Source organism: Homo sapiens, chromosome 11 (genome assembly GCF_000001405.40).
Source record: "Homo sapiens chromosome 11, GRCh38.p14 Primary Assembly".
In the NCBI taxonomy this organism is placed as follows: Eukaryota; Metazoa; Chordata; class Mammalia; order Primates; family Hominidae; genus Homo; species Homo sapiens.
The window spans coordinates 74,162,353-74,180,077 of NC_000011.10; the positions used below are offsets into that span (position 1 = coordinate 74,162,353).

Below are 17,725 nucleotides of genomic sequence, written 5' to 3' on the forward strand. Positions count from 1 at the left end.
AGTATAGAATTTATTTTATAAGTAAATATATTCTTGTGTAAAGATACACAAGAGACTGGTAACCTTTCATACCTTTAAAATGTTTTACCATGTGCATGTATTTCCTAATGAAAAAAGTGACACAACTGATAGAAAATACAACTGATTTAAAAACTATAACAGAGATAACAAAACTATCTGGAAAAAGTAATTTAACTTAAAAAAGTATTTTAATTTCAAATAATCACTTATCATACCATTCTGGGGGTAGAGGAGTATGAACCCAAGATCAAAAGAACAATAAAGATTCACAGAACAACAACAAATACCACACACTGAGGAAAAAATAAATCAACTGACCAAAAATATTTAGCATAGCAAGTATTTGATAAGAAAAATACCCTTAAAAGAGTATTGTTAAATGTATTTGCCAATAACTCAGGCTTTGGTTTTGACACACAGAGCAACAAATCTCAGTTTTCATTCTCACCATTTCTAGTTTTGAATTGACAAAGGATTGCCCTTGCACAGCTGCAAGGGTTGGTCCCTGCCTCCCAGGAGTATCTAATTGCATACTCTTGGGTTATATCTGGACCACTGAGCTATTGAGAGCACTTGGAACCAAGAGAAATGAAAATAAACTTCTCAACTATACTCTTTGGTCACTTAGACTAATACCTTCATGCCCAGAGGAGAAGAAATATAATGTATGCATAAGGAATCTCAGATCATTTCAGAACAGTTTAACTTCTGGTATTTTCTTAACCAAAGTTGAGAAAATGGTTCGTTTTCAGCATTTGTTAATACTGTAGTGAAAAGCATGTAGGAATTATTATTAGAAGACTTGTGATTGTGTTCTGACTGCAATATTCACAAGCTATTTCTGTATAAGCCATGGTTGTCTGTAAAGTAGGCTCATAATATTCGCATCACTGCTGTTCTGAGGAACTGGGGTTGCTGCAAGCAGAACACTAGTACAGTCCAGTGTCTTCCCACATGGTAGTTGCTGAATGGTTGGTAAATGACTTTAGGCAAATTACTTGACATATCATAGTCCCTGTGTAACAACTTGATATGGTTTGGCTGTGTCCCCATCCAAATCTCATCTTGAATTGTAATTCCCATAATCCCCATGTGTCATGGGAAGGACCGGGGGAGATAACTGAATCACAAGTGCGGTTCTCCTTATCCTGTTCTCATGATAGTGAGTTAGCTCTCACGAGATCTGATGGTTTTATAAGGGGCTTCCTGCTTTGCTGGGCACTCATTTTTCTCTCTCCTGCTGCCATGTGAAGGACGTGTTTGCTTCCCCTTCTGCCATGATTGTAAGTTTCCTGAGGCCTCCCCAGCCATGTGGAACTGTGAGTCAATTAAACATCTTTTCTTTATAAATTACCCAGTTTCAGGTATGTCTTTATAGCAGCATGAGAATGGACTAATACACCACTCATGGGGGTTATCTGAAAGTCATATGAGCAAATAGATATAAAAGTGCTTTGTAGACTATAAAATGATGTACACATGAAGAATAAGGGAAATGGACTAACATGTATTCATTGGCTATTTACTAACAGCCAGGGTCTTCCACATCTCATTAATTCTCTTAACAACTCTACGATACTGGTGTTTCTGTCTTCATTTGGGGATAAAAGAGGCTCCGCAAAGTCATGTATATTCCTAGGTTCACCCAGCTTTAAATTGACAGAACTGGGCTAAAACTCAGTTCTATCCAATTATAAGTCCACTACACTTAATTATAAGTCCACTACACTATTCATCACTTCTAGGACAAAAAGCTTAATTCTTAGTAGACTTCTGACCTTTATACTTCACTTGTTGTGGAATTAGAATCCCTACTGTCCAGCACTATTCCTACTCCGATTTGTCTTTCACATTCCTACTAACTGAATCCTATCTGATCAAAGACAGGTAAAAATCACGTAGTGTAGCCATAATTTTCTCAGTTTCTACTCTAGTAGTTCCATGCTCCAAACATTTTCATGGCTGCTATTTTCTGCAACAGAATAAAACGTAAAGGAAGAAAGATGTAAGAGTATGAGGCATATCTCAGAATCCTATAATCCTTCTATTTCCTAAGGCAGTATAATACAATAGAAGTATCAATAATTTCGGAGTCAAGTGCCTCCCTGAATTTAGGGTTGGTGCCAGGGTAACCTTGGGTTAGTTACTTTTAACTCTTTGAACCTCAAATTCGTCACTCAGAAAATCAGGATAATACCCGTTGCAAATGTACAGGGCCTCAGAGCATGCTTTCTAGTGCTCTGCAGAGGCTTCATCTTATTTCTCCTACTGTATTTTCACTTTCTGTAAACAAAAAGTTATGAAGATTTAAAATGTAAAGGTTTTCTCATTAGTTAAACAGAAATCTGTACTTAACATGTTTTTGCAATTGCCTTAACTTCTGTTTAGAATAAGGTAAAATAGATATGAAGAAAGTGGCCAGGCATGGTGGCTCACCTGTAATCCCAGCACTTTGGGAGGCCAAGGCAGGAGGATTGCTTGGGTATGGAAGTTTGACACCAGCCTGGGGAACAACAATGAGACCTCATCTCCACAAAAAATACAAAAATTAGGTGAGTGTCGTGGCATGTGCTTATATTCCCAGTTGCTCAGGAGGCTGAGGTGGGAAGATTGCTTGAACCCAGGAGGTTGAGGCTACAGTGAACTGTGTTTGCATCGCTGCACTCCAGCCCGGCTGTCTGAGAGAGACCTTTTCTCAAAAATAAAATAAAATAAAATAGATACGAAGAAATAAATAAAATGATTTTAAACATCAAATAAGATGATAGACTTGAAAGTATTTCAAAAATTGTAAAATGTGATACATTTCCTCTTCTTTTTTTATATGTTATTTTTATCTGAGGAACTCATATAATCGTTCTTACTACCTCTCTCCAGCCTAGAAAAAAAGAGCAACCCCATCTCATTTCAAATGTTAATTCTGGCACAGCCTATATATTTCACTCATTTGTAAATCTCTTCATGCAATAGTGACTTCTCCTTTTTTGACTGATACAGTATCCTAATTACAAGGTTATTTTGCACTTGTCTTAATACCTTAAGTGTAATAAAAATGGCTTGAGAAAAAAATATGGTTCATGCTAATATGTGACAACATATTAATTAGTTTACTTTTTGCATTTTGTATTAAGTGAAATATGTACACAAAAGAGTAAATAAAATAATAATAATGCGAATACCTACCACACAGCTTAAGAAATAGCATACTTTTTCCAAGTTTTTGGTTAGAGCACATACTTTTGTGAACTAATATTTGATGTCTTATCTCTTCATTTTCTGTCATTTTCTTTCTTTTTTAGAAACAGGGTCTCACTCTGTCACCCAGGCTGGAGTACAGCGGCATGAACATGGCTCACTGCAGCCTCGACTTCCTGGGCTCAAGTGATTTCTCTCACCTCAGCCTCCCAAGTAGCTGGGACTACAGGTGTGCACCACCATGCCCAGCTAATTAAAAAAATTTTTTTTTGTAGAAACAGGGTCTTGCTATGCATGTGGAATCTAATTTTTTTGTAGAAACAGGGTTTTACCCAGGCTGGTCTTGAACTCTTGGCCTCAAGTGATCTTCCTGCCTCAGCCACCAAAGTATTGGGATTACAGGCGTGAGCCACCACGTTCAGCCTCTTATCGCTTCATTTTCTAAAAAACACATCATGTCGGCCGGGTGCGGTGGCTCACACCTGTAATCCCAGCACTTTGGGAGGCTGAGGCGAGCAGATCGTGAGATCAGGAGATTGAGACCATCCTGGCTAACACGGTGAAACCCCATCTCTACTAAAAATATAAAAAATTAGCTGGGTGTCGTGGCGGGCACCTGTAGTCCCAGCTACTCAGGAGGCTGAGGCAGGAGAATGGCGTGAACCCAGGAAGTGGGAGGCGGAGCTTGCAGTGAGCCAAGATTGCGCCACTGCACTCCAGCCTGGGCAACAGAGTGAGACTCCGTCTTAAAAAAAAAAAAAAAAAAACCATGTCATGTCTACAGTTGGACTGTCACTTATAAGGTTCACCTCATGTGTCTCCTATTGAAATTCTACCTTTTCCATGGCCTTCTTTCTTAACTAGAATTATGAAATTTGGGTGCTGGCACATTTGATGTTTTAACTCTTTCAATTTACTGGTGGGAAAATTAAGGCCCAAGAAGATGAAATGGCTTGCTCAAAGTCAAACAGCAAGAGCATAGAGTAGAAGCAGGATTCTGGCTTCTTAATAACATAAGATTAGCCCTTATTAACTTCCTAGAATATTCATATGATATTACTATATGTGTCAAGTAATCAGACATTTAATTATATACTGTCTGGCATTGCTCAATACTGTTTCATGTATGTCAGTTTTGTTTTCAACTAATCTTTAAGTTCCTTTTGGGCAGGGAATACATCTCAAATCTCTGTACACGCTGCCTGAGTCTTAATATTTTTATAAGACTTGTACCTACAATGTGTCAGCTACTAGACCGATCACTTTACAAACATTTTTTTCATTTAGTATTCACAATAATTCCTGACAGGTAAGTGCTATTTTTCCCAACTAACTAATAGGAAACTGGGGCCCTGAGATGCTAAGGAACCTCTCAGCATCACCTAACAATCTAGTCCTGAAGCCAGAGTTCAAACTCTAGACTGTCTAGATGTCAACCCGTTCAACCGGGTTGCTTCTTTGTGCAAATATCTAGAAAATGGAAGGGCAACTATATGATCCCATTTTACAGATGGGGAAACAGGAATCAGATATGGGAAGAGACTTTCCTAAAATCATGTAGTTGGTAACACCAATGTAAATGTTCGGATGCCAAGTCCAATGCACCAATATACCATAAGATGTTCAAATAAATGTCTGACCTGTTGATTACCATGTTAATAAATACCTTCTCTCTTATTGAATTTCTAATCACTCCTCATTTGTTATATTATATAAAAATACTACCTGAGGATTTAATTTTTAAGCTTACAGTACCAAGATTATTTATATCTTTTAATCGCACTTACTGCTTTTAACCTACTATTAATAACTAAACTTTTTTGTGAAGTTAGAGTTCGGGATCATTCTTATTAATTTTTTGGATTTTTTGTAAACCCCATGGTGCCTAAAACAATGTGTAGTATGTGCTAAACATATTTTTTGAATGACTGAATTACAGCATTTGTTCTTTACATGTTGATGTTTCAAAAATTTTTTCTCGAGAGAATGTAAGTTACTCAAGGACAAGTTAATCTTAACTCACCCCTGGCTCTCCAATATTCTGAGCCCAACCATGTTTACATGATAAATGCTCGAATTTTATTGACTTGAACTGAATTGACTTGATAAATAACCCCATCATCCAAAATGTATTTATGTGAAAGCTTGACCTGAATAAAGAAGTAACATAGTACACTCAGAATACTTTTCTTGTACAAAAATGAAGACATCTTGGCTTCTGGTTCCCTACAGAGGGATGCTTTCCATTTCTGAACATCTGTAATACTAACTCACTAAACCATTCATTTAGCATTTAGTATGTATTATCTTGTACTATTGGTAAATTTTACATCTATATCCTCTTTCCTTGAGTATAATGTAAACCCCAGAGTTGAGACTACAGTTATTACCTAAAAAAGCATGGTGTAGTGAAAAGAGCATGAGTTTTGGTGACAGACAGAAGTGGGTTCAAATCCTAATTCAGCCATTTATCAACTTTGTGACCTTAGAAAGTATTCATTTCATCTCTCCAACTTGTTTAATTGTCTATAAAACAGAGAAAATACCTATCTTTCAGGGTTATTGTAAGGATTAGAAGTAATACATTTCAAAACTGCTGGCACACAGTAACACTCAATAAATTTACAAAGAAAAATGTCTACTATAAAAACTCTTTGACTCTTCAATAATTAAGAATGCCCATATATGCTAGGTACACAACAACACTTATTGCTGACAATATAACCACATGCTTTGTATTACGTCTGCAGGTGCAATGATAAAACAATAACATACCTGTTAGATAAGAGGTAAACTGTTTTGGACCACAACGAATAGCGTAACGTGTAGTTGTTCTCACAGCTTTTGGTTCAGTCTGCAATGCATCCCTGGGACAAAAGAGGGTTCCATCTGATGTTTCTCCCCACCATCTCACTCGGACAAGTACACAAGTGGGAGGCTTTGCAATCTTCCATATGACTCTATTAACAGTAAGTTTTAGAAAACAGCGTAGCTGGCCTTCAACCAGAGGTGGCAGGCTTGTAGATGGAGAAATGTCACTTAAACCTGTAGAGGAATCCAAGAAAACTGAGTCAAAATTTAGACTAAATATAGAAAACATATAATATGCTTTTTGAATGAAAACAAACAGAACACTTTAGTCTTAAGTTCAGCAATTTATCACCACTTAGAAAGAAGGTTTATCCTACCCATTATTCTAATACATGAGAAGTAACTATCAAATCAGACCACCGAATAATCTATCTGGTCATGTAAGCCACTCTGATAACTAATTAGTATTTAAGGTTTGATTTGATTTACTCTAAGTTAAGAACATACCAACAAAGACACACTAATATAAACTTTTCTTTAGTTGAGTTACTATTTGAAAAATACAAATATCAGAAGTAGTTGACATTTTTCTAAGTATGGTTGAAATTTTTCTAAGTACAGTTGTTTTAATTATTGCAACATCTATGGTTTTTAAGATATGTAATCTTTATCTAACTCTCTTTTAAAAAAATCACTAACGATAAAACAGCAACAACTCCCTTCACTCACAAACGATTTAGACTATATCATACAACTCAGCATTTCAATGAAGAACGTCTTAAATTGTAACTTTTCTTTCCTGCCAAGATCACACAGTCAGTGAGGACACAGACTATCTAATCTTCAGATTCTGCCACTATTTTTAACACAGTGCTGGGTTCATATATTTATTGGCTTTAGTATTTATTGGGTTTCATAAAGACATTAAAGTGTAAACAAAGCAATTAATCATGACTTTCTAAAAAATTTTCCTTTAATGACCCTGATTGTCTTTCATTCATAGTACCTTTTCGGGAAAACTTAAAGGAGATTTAAGAAACCATTCCTATATTATTTATACCTTTTTTTTCCTTTGACTTTTCTTTGAGGAGTGGTTATGCCTCAAAGAAGAAAATATATGGAATGTATCAGATCAGGACTAATTATTTGGACTTCTAATGCAAACACCGCCTCTGCCCTCTATAGTGGAGAAAAGACCCACCATAATCCTTATGGATAGTTTCAACATAAAAATTATACACAGTTGTGTATACATTTCTACATATGGAAATGGTATAGCAAAAAGTGTATTCTGTTCTATGCTATGTTATATTATTTCTACTTTGACTTTCCGATTATCAACCAAACATGCTTAACTGTTTTGACACAGGGAGCACTAGTATGCTTCAGTCTCAGATCCTCCTATCTTTCCTGGCAGGAAAGTCAGTATCTCAAAACTGCCTTAGTAATCTTTAAACAGCTTGGATAAGAGTAATTCCCAGATTGTAGCTTCAGTCCTCAACCCAATGGCCTAATGTCCTATCACTGTTCCCAATACTTCTTTTCTCGCTAAACTGCCTACAATGCAAAAAGGCAGGGTCACCCACTGTCCTTTTTCCCTTCGAGGCAGTCTTGTAGAGATTCAATGTCAAGTTTCCTGATCTGCCCTGGGTTCCTAGGTTGACTGTTCTCACTGCAGCTAACATCCCCTACTCGGTGAGCTTGTGTCTCCTTGAGCTGCTAACCTGATGAGGACTCTCTGCTGCACACTCTTTCATGATCTCAGGTCCTTCAGGAGATCGTCATGCCCTTACCCCCACTCCAATCCTATCACACCTGTCATTCCCCACTCTTCCCGGCTCTATACTCTACAATTATTTTTCCCAACTCCTGCTCATAGTCAGCCCTTCATACTTCATTCATTCAACTAACATTTACCGAGTCCTGCTTTGTACTAATCCTTGGTCATTCAGTAATGTATAAAACGTGATTCTTGCCCACAATCACACAACAAATGATATAATCCCTTTGCCAATTTATGTTTCTTCCTGTCCCTGTGGACCTCGAAAGCTACACACACACATACATTTCACTTCGTTATCAAAACCAATCCCATCATTGTTTGTTCTTCTCCTCTACAGTCATCCTACCGGTAACCTTCATCTCATTAATCGCCTGTCTGTGGCCCCTACCCCAGCCCCTAATTCCTTTCTATTCTCTGGAGGGCCAATTGCCCTTCCTTTTAACCTTCTGGTTCCCTGGCTACTTCCTTCTTACGTCCCTTTTCTTGTTTATCCAGCGGGGGTGCGGGTCTCCCTAAAATTCCTTACACCCTGCTCTCCTATTACGCTTTCCTCAATCTTTGATCGCTCAGGTTACCTCTTTTTTTGCGCCCACGGCTGCCCCCAGACCCTTGGCCTTTTCGTTGTTTCATGATGAGCCCGAGCTCTTCTTCACCAGCTCAACTCCGTCTCCAGCACCTAAGCAGTATCCTCCCGCCATCCCTCCCCACGGCGCCTGCGTTCCCCGGCAACCGGCGCCGCTGGGCAGCCTGGGAGGCAGGAAAAAGCGACTCTTCCTCTAACAGTCTCCGGAAAACGGTGCGAAGAGAAGGCGCCAAGACGCCTTCCCTCCAATACACTACAATACCCAGGACGCTTTGCTACAATACCTCTCCGGGGTTGGCTGGGGGGCGCCTCCAGCTGCGCAAGCGCATAGGGATGCGCCCTTTGTGGACTCCATTGCGCAGGGTGCATTGCCCTGAAGAGCGCTCCTCCTTCCGGTGAAAGTCGTCGGGTTCCCAGCCGGGAGTCTGCGGAGTTCTCATACTCTGTTACCCAGCTTCCTTTGTATGAGTGCTGTTGCGCACTTCCGGTGGAAGCGCTGAAGCGAGTGGGTGGAGTTTACGGAGCCGGTGGGCGGTAGGCGGTGCTACGGGTAGCTGGGTGCTGTCCAAAGGCGACAGGGCGTCGTTAGGGGAGCGAGTCGTGACCGGTTGGGCCACACTCAACGTGGGACGAAGCTTCGCCTACTGTTTGACTACGTGCGTGCAGCCTCCCCTCGATGTCGGCCCTCGAAAAGAGCATGCACCTCGGCCGCCTTCCCTCTCGCCCACCTCTACCCGGCAGCGGGGGCAGTCAGAGCGGAGCCAAGATGCGAATGGGGTACGTGACCCATACCCCTTCTCCCTATGGGCCAGGCCCCAGCCGTTGGAGAATGGTATCTCTGGGCGTTCATAGAGGCACGGGAAAGGAGTCTACTGATAGGAGAAAATGTTGGCGGCCTGGAGATATTTAGATGGAGTAGAAGGCAGATTGGGGTACTAGGGGAGGCGCCAAGTCAATAGAAATTGGAGGAAAAATAACGTTGTTGAAGGGAGAGGGGAATGAGGCAAAGGTTGGGGAAGCTGAGAGACTAACATAAGGGATCTGAGAATCACTTCCACAATAAAGGAGGCTTAGAAAAGGGAGTAGAACGGTGACAAAGGTGGAGGAGAATCGGCCAGGGAAGGTGGAGGGAAGTGGGGAATGACTGAGAGAAAAGTTGAGGGGAATTGGGCCAACAACTAAGGAAAGGTTTGGGAGGAGTAGATATTATCAGAGTTCTAATATCTGCACTGTGAGAACTAGATACTAGAAAAGCTGAGGGGGGTAGAAAACACTCGAGACAGGGCTGGAGAAGGAAAGAGGAGAACTAGGAAGCAGACGATTCTAGAGAATTCCCAGAGGTGTAAAGACAGATTCAGCGAATGAGAGGTGAGATTAGGTCTCTTAAGGGAGAATGAGAAAGTTTAGGGAGTAGGCCTAAGGTAAGGTGGAGAACATAGCCACGAAGATTGTTAAGGGTAGTAGGAATGTGCTGAGAAGCTGGACAGGATAAGGGAGAGAGAAGAAGGAGAGGACTGAAGAATTTACAGAGTGAGAAGCTGGACAGGATAAGGGAGAGAGAAGAAGGAGAGAACTGAAGAATTTACAGAGTGACCATAGGCTCTAAAGATTGAGAGATGACTATAAATACGGTTTGGTGAATGGAAGTGCTGCAGTTGTAAGGTCTGGGAAGCTTAGAGGAAGATTTGGGCAATCAGTTTTTGCTGGGCTAGTAGATCTGAGGGAAGCGACGTACTGGCCTAAGACTTTGAATTAGTGAAGCATTGGGAGTTCGAGAAATAGTTTGCTGGAAAGGAAGGAGAGCCATGTAGAAGAGATAGGTTTTGGAATTTTAGATCGTTAAATGGCTTGTGCCAGGTTAGGGGATACTTGGGCCGAGGAGAAAGAATGAGGTGAACATGGGAGAAGTAATTGCTGGAAAGTGGAGAGAATTGAATAGGCATTTGGTTTTGAGGGGATATTTGTAGTTTCAAACAGGATTCTGGGAATTAGTGACTGTAAAGAGAAAAGGAGTAGGAAAGATACTTAGGTATGAGGGCTCCAGAGTATATTTGGGATTCTAGAGATGAATTGGTAGATATTCTTTGAAAAAGGACTACAGAAGAGAAACCTTAGGTTCTGAAGAAGTAATATGTGTAAAAACTTATCAAAAAGGAGGCGAGAGTAGGAGATGCAGTACTGTGACAGTAAGTCCTAGGGATGAAAAGAAAGGAGAATCCTATAAAACAGTGGGGTAAAGGAATGGGAAAAATGGGTGGAAAAACCAGGGAAGGAAACTAAGAATTGAGTGGAGACCTGCTATGATACGCAGTAGAAAAATGAGAAAACTTTAGCAGGAGGAGATAGAGAGATAGACGCACAATAGAGGTAGAAGGCTACATAGAAGGTAAAGTGAAGATTGTTTTGGCTTTGGAAGACAGAAAAGTTGGACTATAACATGAATAAAGAGAATTTGGAAACTGACCCATAACATTATTTGGGAAAACTAACCTGGAGTTTAATATTAATGTAACATTAATTGTTGTTAAATATCTTAGTTGCTGCCTTTCTTAAAATAAATTTGATTTTTCAGTATACCAGCACCCTTCTATACAAATACATAAGAAAATCAGATTTTTAATAATTATACATTCCTTAGATAAGCTTAATTAGAGCTCAGCTTCTCATCTTGGAGAAACAAGTTCTCTGAAGATTGAAGAACTGAATGAAGATACTGAGAGAAAAAAAAAGGAAAATCTGCTGATTAGAAGATTGTATAATTGTTAGTAATTTATCGTTTTTATTTTTTATTACTTTTCATTTTATTTTTTTTTAGAGACAGAGTCTCACTCTGTTGCCCAGGCTAGAGTGCAGTGGCACAATCTCGGCTCACTGCAACTTCCACCTCCCGGGCTCAAGTGATTCTTGTGCCTCAGCCTCCCAAGTAGCTGGGATTACAGGCATGCACCACCACGCCCGGCTAATTTTTGTATTTTTAGTAGAGAGGGGATTTCGCCATGTTGGCCAGGCTGGTCTTAAACTCCTGGCCTTAAGTGATCTGCCCCACTTGGCTTCCCAAAGTACTGGGATTATAGGAGTGAGCTACTGTGCCTGGACAACTTACCTTTTTAAAAAGATGCTTTGGTCTTCTTGGTTTAGGTTAACTGCTTATCCTGGAAAAGAAAGTTCTTTAGAAAGGCCTTTCTTTATGATAGTATTGTGAAGAGAAGAGCATATATTGGCGAATATTTGTGTGGTCCTCAAATGGCTTATTTTCCCGTATCTTTCTTTTCTACTTTATTGGTATATAAGCAGGCTTCATCTAAGTCTCATGGTAGTAATAATATAGATTCTCTTTCTCCTTAGAATCATAAAGCTGAGAGAAAGCATAGACATGGTCTCATTTCACCACTTCATGTAGTTGAGGAACCCAATATTCAGAGAGTTCTGTATTCTATAAGGGAATGTATTAATAAATGAGGGAACTGAGACTCAGATATTCCTAAGGTACCCTAGAAGCTTAGCGGTAGGGCCGTTAAGGACTAGGACTTGGGTCTCTTGACTGTGAGACCCATTGTGTATTTTGGAGTCATAATTGTCATCTGGGGATACTTATTTTGAGTTGTGTATCTTACTCATTTGCATATAATCTAGGATTCAGTCTTTTTCTTCAGTCGTAATTTATGAAGTCTCACACCAATTTCAAAGCATTCTTTATGTCTCCTTATGCTTACTTGCTTTTTTCTTAACTTCCATTCTTCCACTCTATCTATGTTACTCACAAGTTAGTCCTGTTCTCTTGATAGTCTCTTGTGTGGCTTACTCTTAACTATTTTTCATGATCTCTTGCCTTCAATTTCACTAAACATTATTTAGGCATGTTTGCATATTCAGGGTGCATATTCTGAGTTGGTGATTTTTCATGAGTTTCCATAATTCAGTTTTTCAGATTAGATTTAGTAATTCCAAAGTATTGTTGGATAATTTAATAATAGCAATTTTTAAAGTAAGTACTGTGTGCCAGACATTGTAATGGTAACTTTATGTTATTTAATGTGTCCACAGACCTGCATGGTGAATATTTTCCTGCATTGTGGGTAAAGACATTCAGACCCAGAGATTAAAAGTAACCCAACTAGTAGGTAGCAGAGCTAGGATTCAATCTAAGTTTAGTCTCTAGAATCCATTCACTTTTCAGTACACTAATATTTTCTCTTGGGTAAGGCCTGAAATCCTGGTGTCACTCTTCCTTTTAATAGATGCCAATGGATGTTGCCAAAAACAGTGGTTTTGAACTTCTTTATTAAAGCTTTTAGAGCTACTCTGACTAAAGTAGATTTGAGATCCCTATTTGCTTTGCACCCCTGGTGTGCTTGAGAGAAGTATCTTTTGAAAGTCACTGCTTTCGTATATACTATTACTATTAGAGGAACTATAAAATATTAAAGCCATTCATTATTCAACGTGTTTTTGGTTTATCAGTAGTTGTACTTTTTGGCCAGGTGTGGTGGCTCATGCCTGTAATCTCAGCACTTTGGGAGGCCGAGGCGGGTGGATCACCTGAGGTCGGGAGTTCAAGACCAGCCTGACCAACATAGAAAAACACCGTCTCTCCTAAAAATACAAAATTAGCTGGCGTGGTGGCACATGCCTGTAATCCCAGCTACTCAGGAGGCTGAGGCAGGAGAATCACTTGAACCTGGGAGGCGGAGGTTGTGGTGAGCCGAGATCGCGCCATTGCACTCCAGCCAGGGCAACAAGAGCGAAACTCCATCTCAAAAAAAAAAAAGTTCTACTTTTCTATTATTATCTCTTAAATTCCTTTTTTTTTCTTTTGCAAGAGATAGAGTCTTGCTGTGTTGCCCAGGCTGAAGTACAGTGGCTTTTCACAGGCATAATCTTGGTGCATTACAACCTCAAACTCGTGGGCTCAAGCAGTCTTCCCACTTCATCCTCTTGAGTAGGTAGGACTGAGGATACATGCTAGCATGCCCAGCTCTGTAGTGATTTAACTGACATGTATATAGTAGTCCCTTTTTATATTCTATGAGGTAAACTAGGGCAGGAGTTAATATTTTCTTTTAATAAATGAGAAAACTGAAATGTTCATTGACTTGCCTAAGATCACAGAATCATTATGTGGCAGGAACAACATTCAAACCCAGGACTTCGTATTTTTAGTCCATTGTTCTTTCTATAGCTTGCATTGAAGGGTTTGATATTTGAAGTGACAAAGATCTAAGTTTGAAGCCCAACTTAGGTATTTACATTGGTCGAGTCATTTAACTTCTCATAGTCTATTTTCTTATCTCTAAAATGAGAATACTTCTGCTTACCTGAGAGTGCTGTGAGAATAAGATAATACATAAAAAGCACTTATAGTTCCTGACACTGACACATAAGCTCTTAAAGAATGATAGCTAGTAGATAATTATACATTGAGAACTGTGAAGAAGGTTCATAGTTTATGTGGAAGCTCTCCTTTCAGTTTCTTATGTTATCAGCTTTTTTGTCCCCACAAGCTGTATGTTTATTCATATCTGATTAGATAGTCTTTCATCCATCTTCTTAAATTTATTATGGATATCAGGCCTCTTAGGAAGGCTTTAATGAGCTATTCACACAGATGGGGAAATAAAGGGCAAAGTGAAGTGATTTGCTCAAGGTCACAAATTGAGTTACTAAAATAATCAAATCCCAGTATTTCTGTTTTTTTTTTTATTTTTTCATTAGATTTTTAAAAAGTTAAATTTATATGCCATAGAATTCACTCTTTTAAATGTACAATTCAGTGATTTTTGGTATATTCACTCAGTTGTACAATTACCACCACTAATTGCAGAACATTTTCATCCTCCCATAAACTCGTTACTCATTAGCATCTTCCCTTCCTCCCAGCATGTATTGCTTCTGGATCTTGAGTCACAGAAAGGCTTTTCCTTTTTTTGGGTTATAAAGGAATCATTTATATTTTTTCCTGGTACCTGTGTAGTGTCCTTTTTTTTTTTTTTTTTTTTTTTGAGACAGAGTCTTGCTCTGTCACCGAGGCCGGATGGAGTGCAGTGGTGTGATCTTGGCCCACTACAACCTCCACTTCCCGGGTTCAGGCGATTCTCCTGCTTCAGCCTCCCAAGTAGCTGGGATTACAGGCATGCACCACCACACCCAGCTAATTTTTGTATTTTTAGTAGAGACGGGGTTTCATTATGTTGGCCAGGCTGCTCTTGAACTCCTGGCCCCAGGTAATCCACCCACCTCAGCCTTCCAAAGTGCTGGGATTACAGGCATGAGCCAATTTTTTTTTAATCCATTTGAAGTTTATCTTGATATGCAAAGTGAGGAAAAGAAGACATTTTATTTTTATCCAAAGGCTATCTAGTTGTTTTCATCATTTATTAAATTTTTTAGTCCTTTACCCATTACGTAAATTTCACTACAATAAAGAAATAGTCCTGGCCAGGCTCAGTGGTCCATGCCTGTAATCCCAGCACTTTGGGAGGCCAAGGCATGTGGACCACTTGAGCTTGGGAGTTGGAGACCAGCCTGGACAACATGGTGAAACCTCTTCTCTACAAAAATCACAAAAATTTAGCTGGGTGTGGTGGTGTGTGCCTGTAGTCCCAGCTACTCTGGAGGATCATTTGAGTCCGGGAAGCAAAGGTTGCAGTGAGCCAAGATAATGCCCCTGCACTCTAGCCTGGGACACAGAGTGAGACTTTGTCTCAAAAAAAAAAAAAAAAGTCTTCTTTCTCACTGATTAAAATGACACCTTTGTCATATGCCAAATTTCTATATAAATCCGGGTCTGTGGAGTTTCTTTTACGTGCCACTACTGTACTTTTAATTAGAGGATTTATTAATATGTTTTGATGGGTGGTAGAGGTTGTTTACCCCTCATTCATTTTGAGGATTTTCGTGGTTCCTCTTGTTTTTTTCTCACAAATAAACTTTCTAATCCCATAGACTAGTGCCAGAAAAAAATCCTGATAGTATTTTTATTGGGATTACATTAAATACAAACATTAATTTAGAATAAACGTTTTTATGATGTTGAATGTTCCTTGAAGAAATATGGTATCTTTCAATTTGTATGAATCCCTTTTGAAGGAAATATATTTCAGATTCCAAGTATTGACCTAAGTTATATTCAATCTAATATTACTTAAATTCAATAGTACTCTTAAATAATTGTGAAACTCAGTAGATTTACTCTTTAAATACAATTAAGTCTACAAAAATCCCCAAACTCACATTAGCAACATTATATTGATGTGAAACAATCTAATTTGCTGTTATCAGTTTACTGTAGTTTAAACTACAAGGACATTTATTATTGATAGGATGTTCCAGGGTTCATTCAGTTGCTAAACAATTTCATTCAGGACCCAGGCTGTTTGCATCCTTTCTTTTGCCATCCTTAGAATGGTGGCTTTTCCTTCTCTTGCTTGTCACCTTATGGTTGCAGGATGGCTGCTGCCACTCTACTTCTATCTTATCTTTACAAATAAAAAGAAGCGGGGGCCAAAGTCCTTTCCTAGCTAAGCTTGTCTTTTAATTTTTTCCCAGAAATGCAAGCTCCCCAACAGATTTTTCCCTTAAGTCTTATTGTCCAGAACTGTTCACATACCCATCCTAAAACCAATCACTGGCAGTAGGGAATGGGATTAACTATGACTGGTTTAGACCAATTTTGATTCATTCCCTTGGACTGGAGGAGAGACAACAAGAGATCTCCACTAGCTGCTCAAACAAAAGTATTACAATTCTGTTAGGGAAGAGAGAGTGGGAAGTGGGCAGGTAATGTCTGGAATAGAGAATAAACAGCATCTGGCCCAAATCCTGAGGTTAACAAGTGGAGAAGCCTAATCTTCTGATTTCAACTTCCCTACTGTTTTCATTGCAGTGTAAGTATAGGAAGTAATAATCCCACCCCCAACTCCCCTGCCCCTTATTGCCAGATTTCAGCCCCTTGACATTCATTTCAGAACTTCTGAGTAAAAGTCCGTTTTTCCATTGTTGCTTATTGCCAGCAAATCTATTTCTTCTTAGTATCTCCAAAATTGGGTAATTTGCTCTTTTGTTTTATTTTAAACCTAATGAGCCTTCCATGTTATGCTACTTGATGTCAGATTTCAGAAAACATCTCTAGTTGTTTGGGAAAGACTGTTTCCTTCAAACTACAAAATAGTTTTTTTTTTTTTAAGAGAAGAAACTTTTAATTAATAGTTCTATTAAGAGGGTGGCCACACTTAGATATTCTTCAAATACAATATTGATTACAAGTTACAGGTATATTCTACCAATATATTTTGAAGATTGAATAAGAGATTATATTGAAAATTCCAATCATTTCAAACCACACCGGAAGACCGAAGTTGTTTACTTATCAGTCCTTTTCCTATATGCTTCTGTGTGTGTTTTTGGCCATAGACTTTTTCCAGGTTTAAGTAGACATCCTCTCTCTGCCACTAACAAGTTGTATGACTCTGGTCAGTTTCTCTTCCTGGGCCTCGTTATCATGGAAAGAAAGAACGCTTTGGCACCTGACGTACTTGTTTAAATCCAAGCTCCCCAGCCTGGGCAACATAGGAAAAACTTGTCTGTACTAAAACAAAACAAAACAACCAGGCATGGTGGTGCGCACCTGTTAGTCCCAGCTACTTGAGAGACTGAGATGGGAGAATCACTTGAGCCTGGGAGTTTGAGGTTGCAGTGTGCTGTGATCGTGCCACTGCACTCCAGCCTGGGAGACAGAATGAGACCCTATCTCTAAAAATAGTAATTATAAAATAAAAAGTCAAATCCAAGCTCCGGTGCTACCAAAAATGGCTCTGGGAAAGTTATTTAGTATTTCTGAGTCACCTTAAAATGAGAATACTTTAATGGTACTGTTCAAAACCATGCTTGGTACGTAATAAACACCTAGTTGTTTCCTTTCATAAAGTAAGATTTGAGTTAGATGATCTCTAACAGCATGATTCATGATGTAGTTTTTAGAATCCTGAAGTCTGCTGCTTAATGGCATGCCTTGGAGTAAGGAACACTTCAGACCTACCACAACCCTCAGCCAGCCATCTGGTTGCTTTCTTTTCATTCTCTTCAAAGTACTGCTAATAAGGACATTTTAAAAACAGTGGTGCCTTGATTTAAATAGCTGGCTGCAATTAAACTTCAGTATTTAGCCTCCACTACCAGACTCCTAGACTTTGACAGAATTTGTGACAACAAGTGATTAAGACTGCTACTGTGCCCATTCATGACTCATCAATAACTCTCTTAACAGACTTAAGCAGCCTAGATGTTGATGTGTTATTCCTATTTAGATTTGAGACATTCATGTAAAAACATACAAC

The 17,725-nt window shown here is 39.1% G+C and overlaps 2 protein-coding genes across 6 annotated transcripts in view, besides 4 other annotated features; one reads left to right on the forward strand and one right to left on the reverse strand.

The window, feature by feature from the left end:
• The window catches only part of C2CD3 (C2 domain containing 3 centriole elongation regulator), a 158,285-nt gene extending 149,635 nt beyond the window's left edge, over positions 1 to 8,650 (reverse strand). For both annotated transcript variants that reach the window (NM_001286577.2, NM_015531.6), the window contains exons 1-2: positions 8,386 to 8,650; positions 5,992 to 6,261 (exon numbers count right to left, since the gene is read on the reverse strand). In NM_001286577.2, the coding sequence (NP_001273506.1) occupies positions 5,992 to 6,261; positions 8,386 to 8,440 (325 nt within the window). In that variant the 5' untranslated portion in view covers positions 8,441 to 8,650. The remainder of the gene's footprint in view (positions 1 to 5,991; positions 6,262 to 8,385) is intronic.
• Positions 7,885 to 8,808: an enhancer, noted in NCBI's record as "H3K27ac hESC enhancer chr11:73881282-73882205 (GRCh37/hg19 assembly coordinates)". NCBI's record gives its function as "activates a minimal SCP1, AML or CMV promoter by ChIP-STARR-seq in primed H9 embryonic stem cells {active_cell/tissue: H9 hESC(primed)}" and the evidence as "EXISTENCE:reporter gene assay evidence [ECO:0000049][PMID:30033119]".
• Positions 7,885 to 9,731: a biological region, named in NCBI's record as "H3K27ac hESC enhancers GRCh37_chr11:73881282-73882205 and GRCh37_chr11:73882206-73883128".
• Positions 8,582 to 9,031: an enhancer, noted in NCBI's record as "active region_5251". NCBI's record gives its function as "activates an Ori minimal core promoter by ATAC-STARR-seq in GM12878 lymphoblastoid cells {active_cell/tissue: GM12878}" and the evidence as "EXISTENCE:reporter gene assay evidence [ECO:0000049][PMID:35858748]".
• Positions 8,809 to 9,731: an enhancer, noted in NCBI's record as "H3K27ac hESC enhancer chr11:73882206-73883128 (GRCh37/hg19 assembly coordinates)". NCBI's record gives its function as "activates a minimal SCP1, AML or CMV promoter by ChIP-STARR-seq in primed H9 embryonic stem cells {active_cell/tissue: H9 hESC(primed)}" and the evidence as "EXISTENCE:reporter gene assay evidence [ECO:0000049][PMID:30033119]".
• The window catches only part of PPME1 (protein phosphatase methylesterase 1), an 83,415-nt gene continuing 74,626 nt past the window's right edge, over positions 8,937 to 17,725 (forward strand). For all 4 annotated transcript variants that reach the window (NM_001271593.2, NM_016147.3, XM_047427116.1 and 1 more), the window contains exon 1: positions 8,937 to 9,170. In NM_001271593.2, coding sequence (NP_001258522.1) covers positions 9,070 to 9,170 — 101 coding nt within the window. In that variant the 5' untranslated portion in view covers positions 8,937 to 9,069. The remainder of the gene's footprint in view (positions 9,171 to 17,725) is intronic.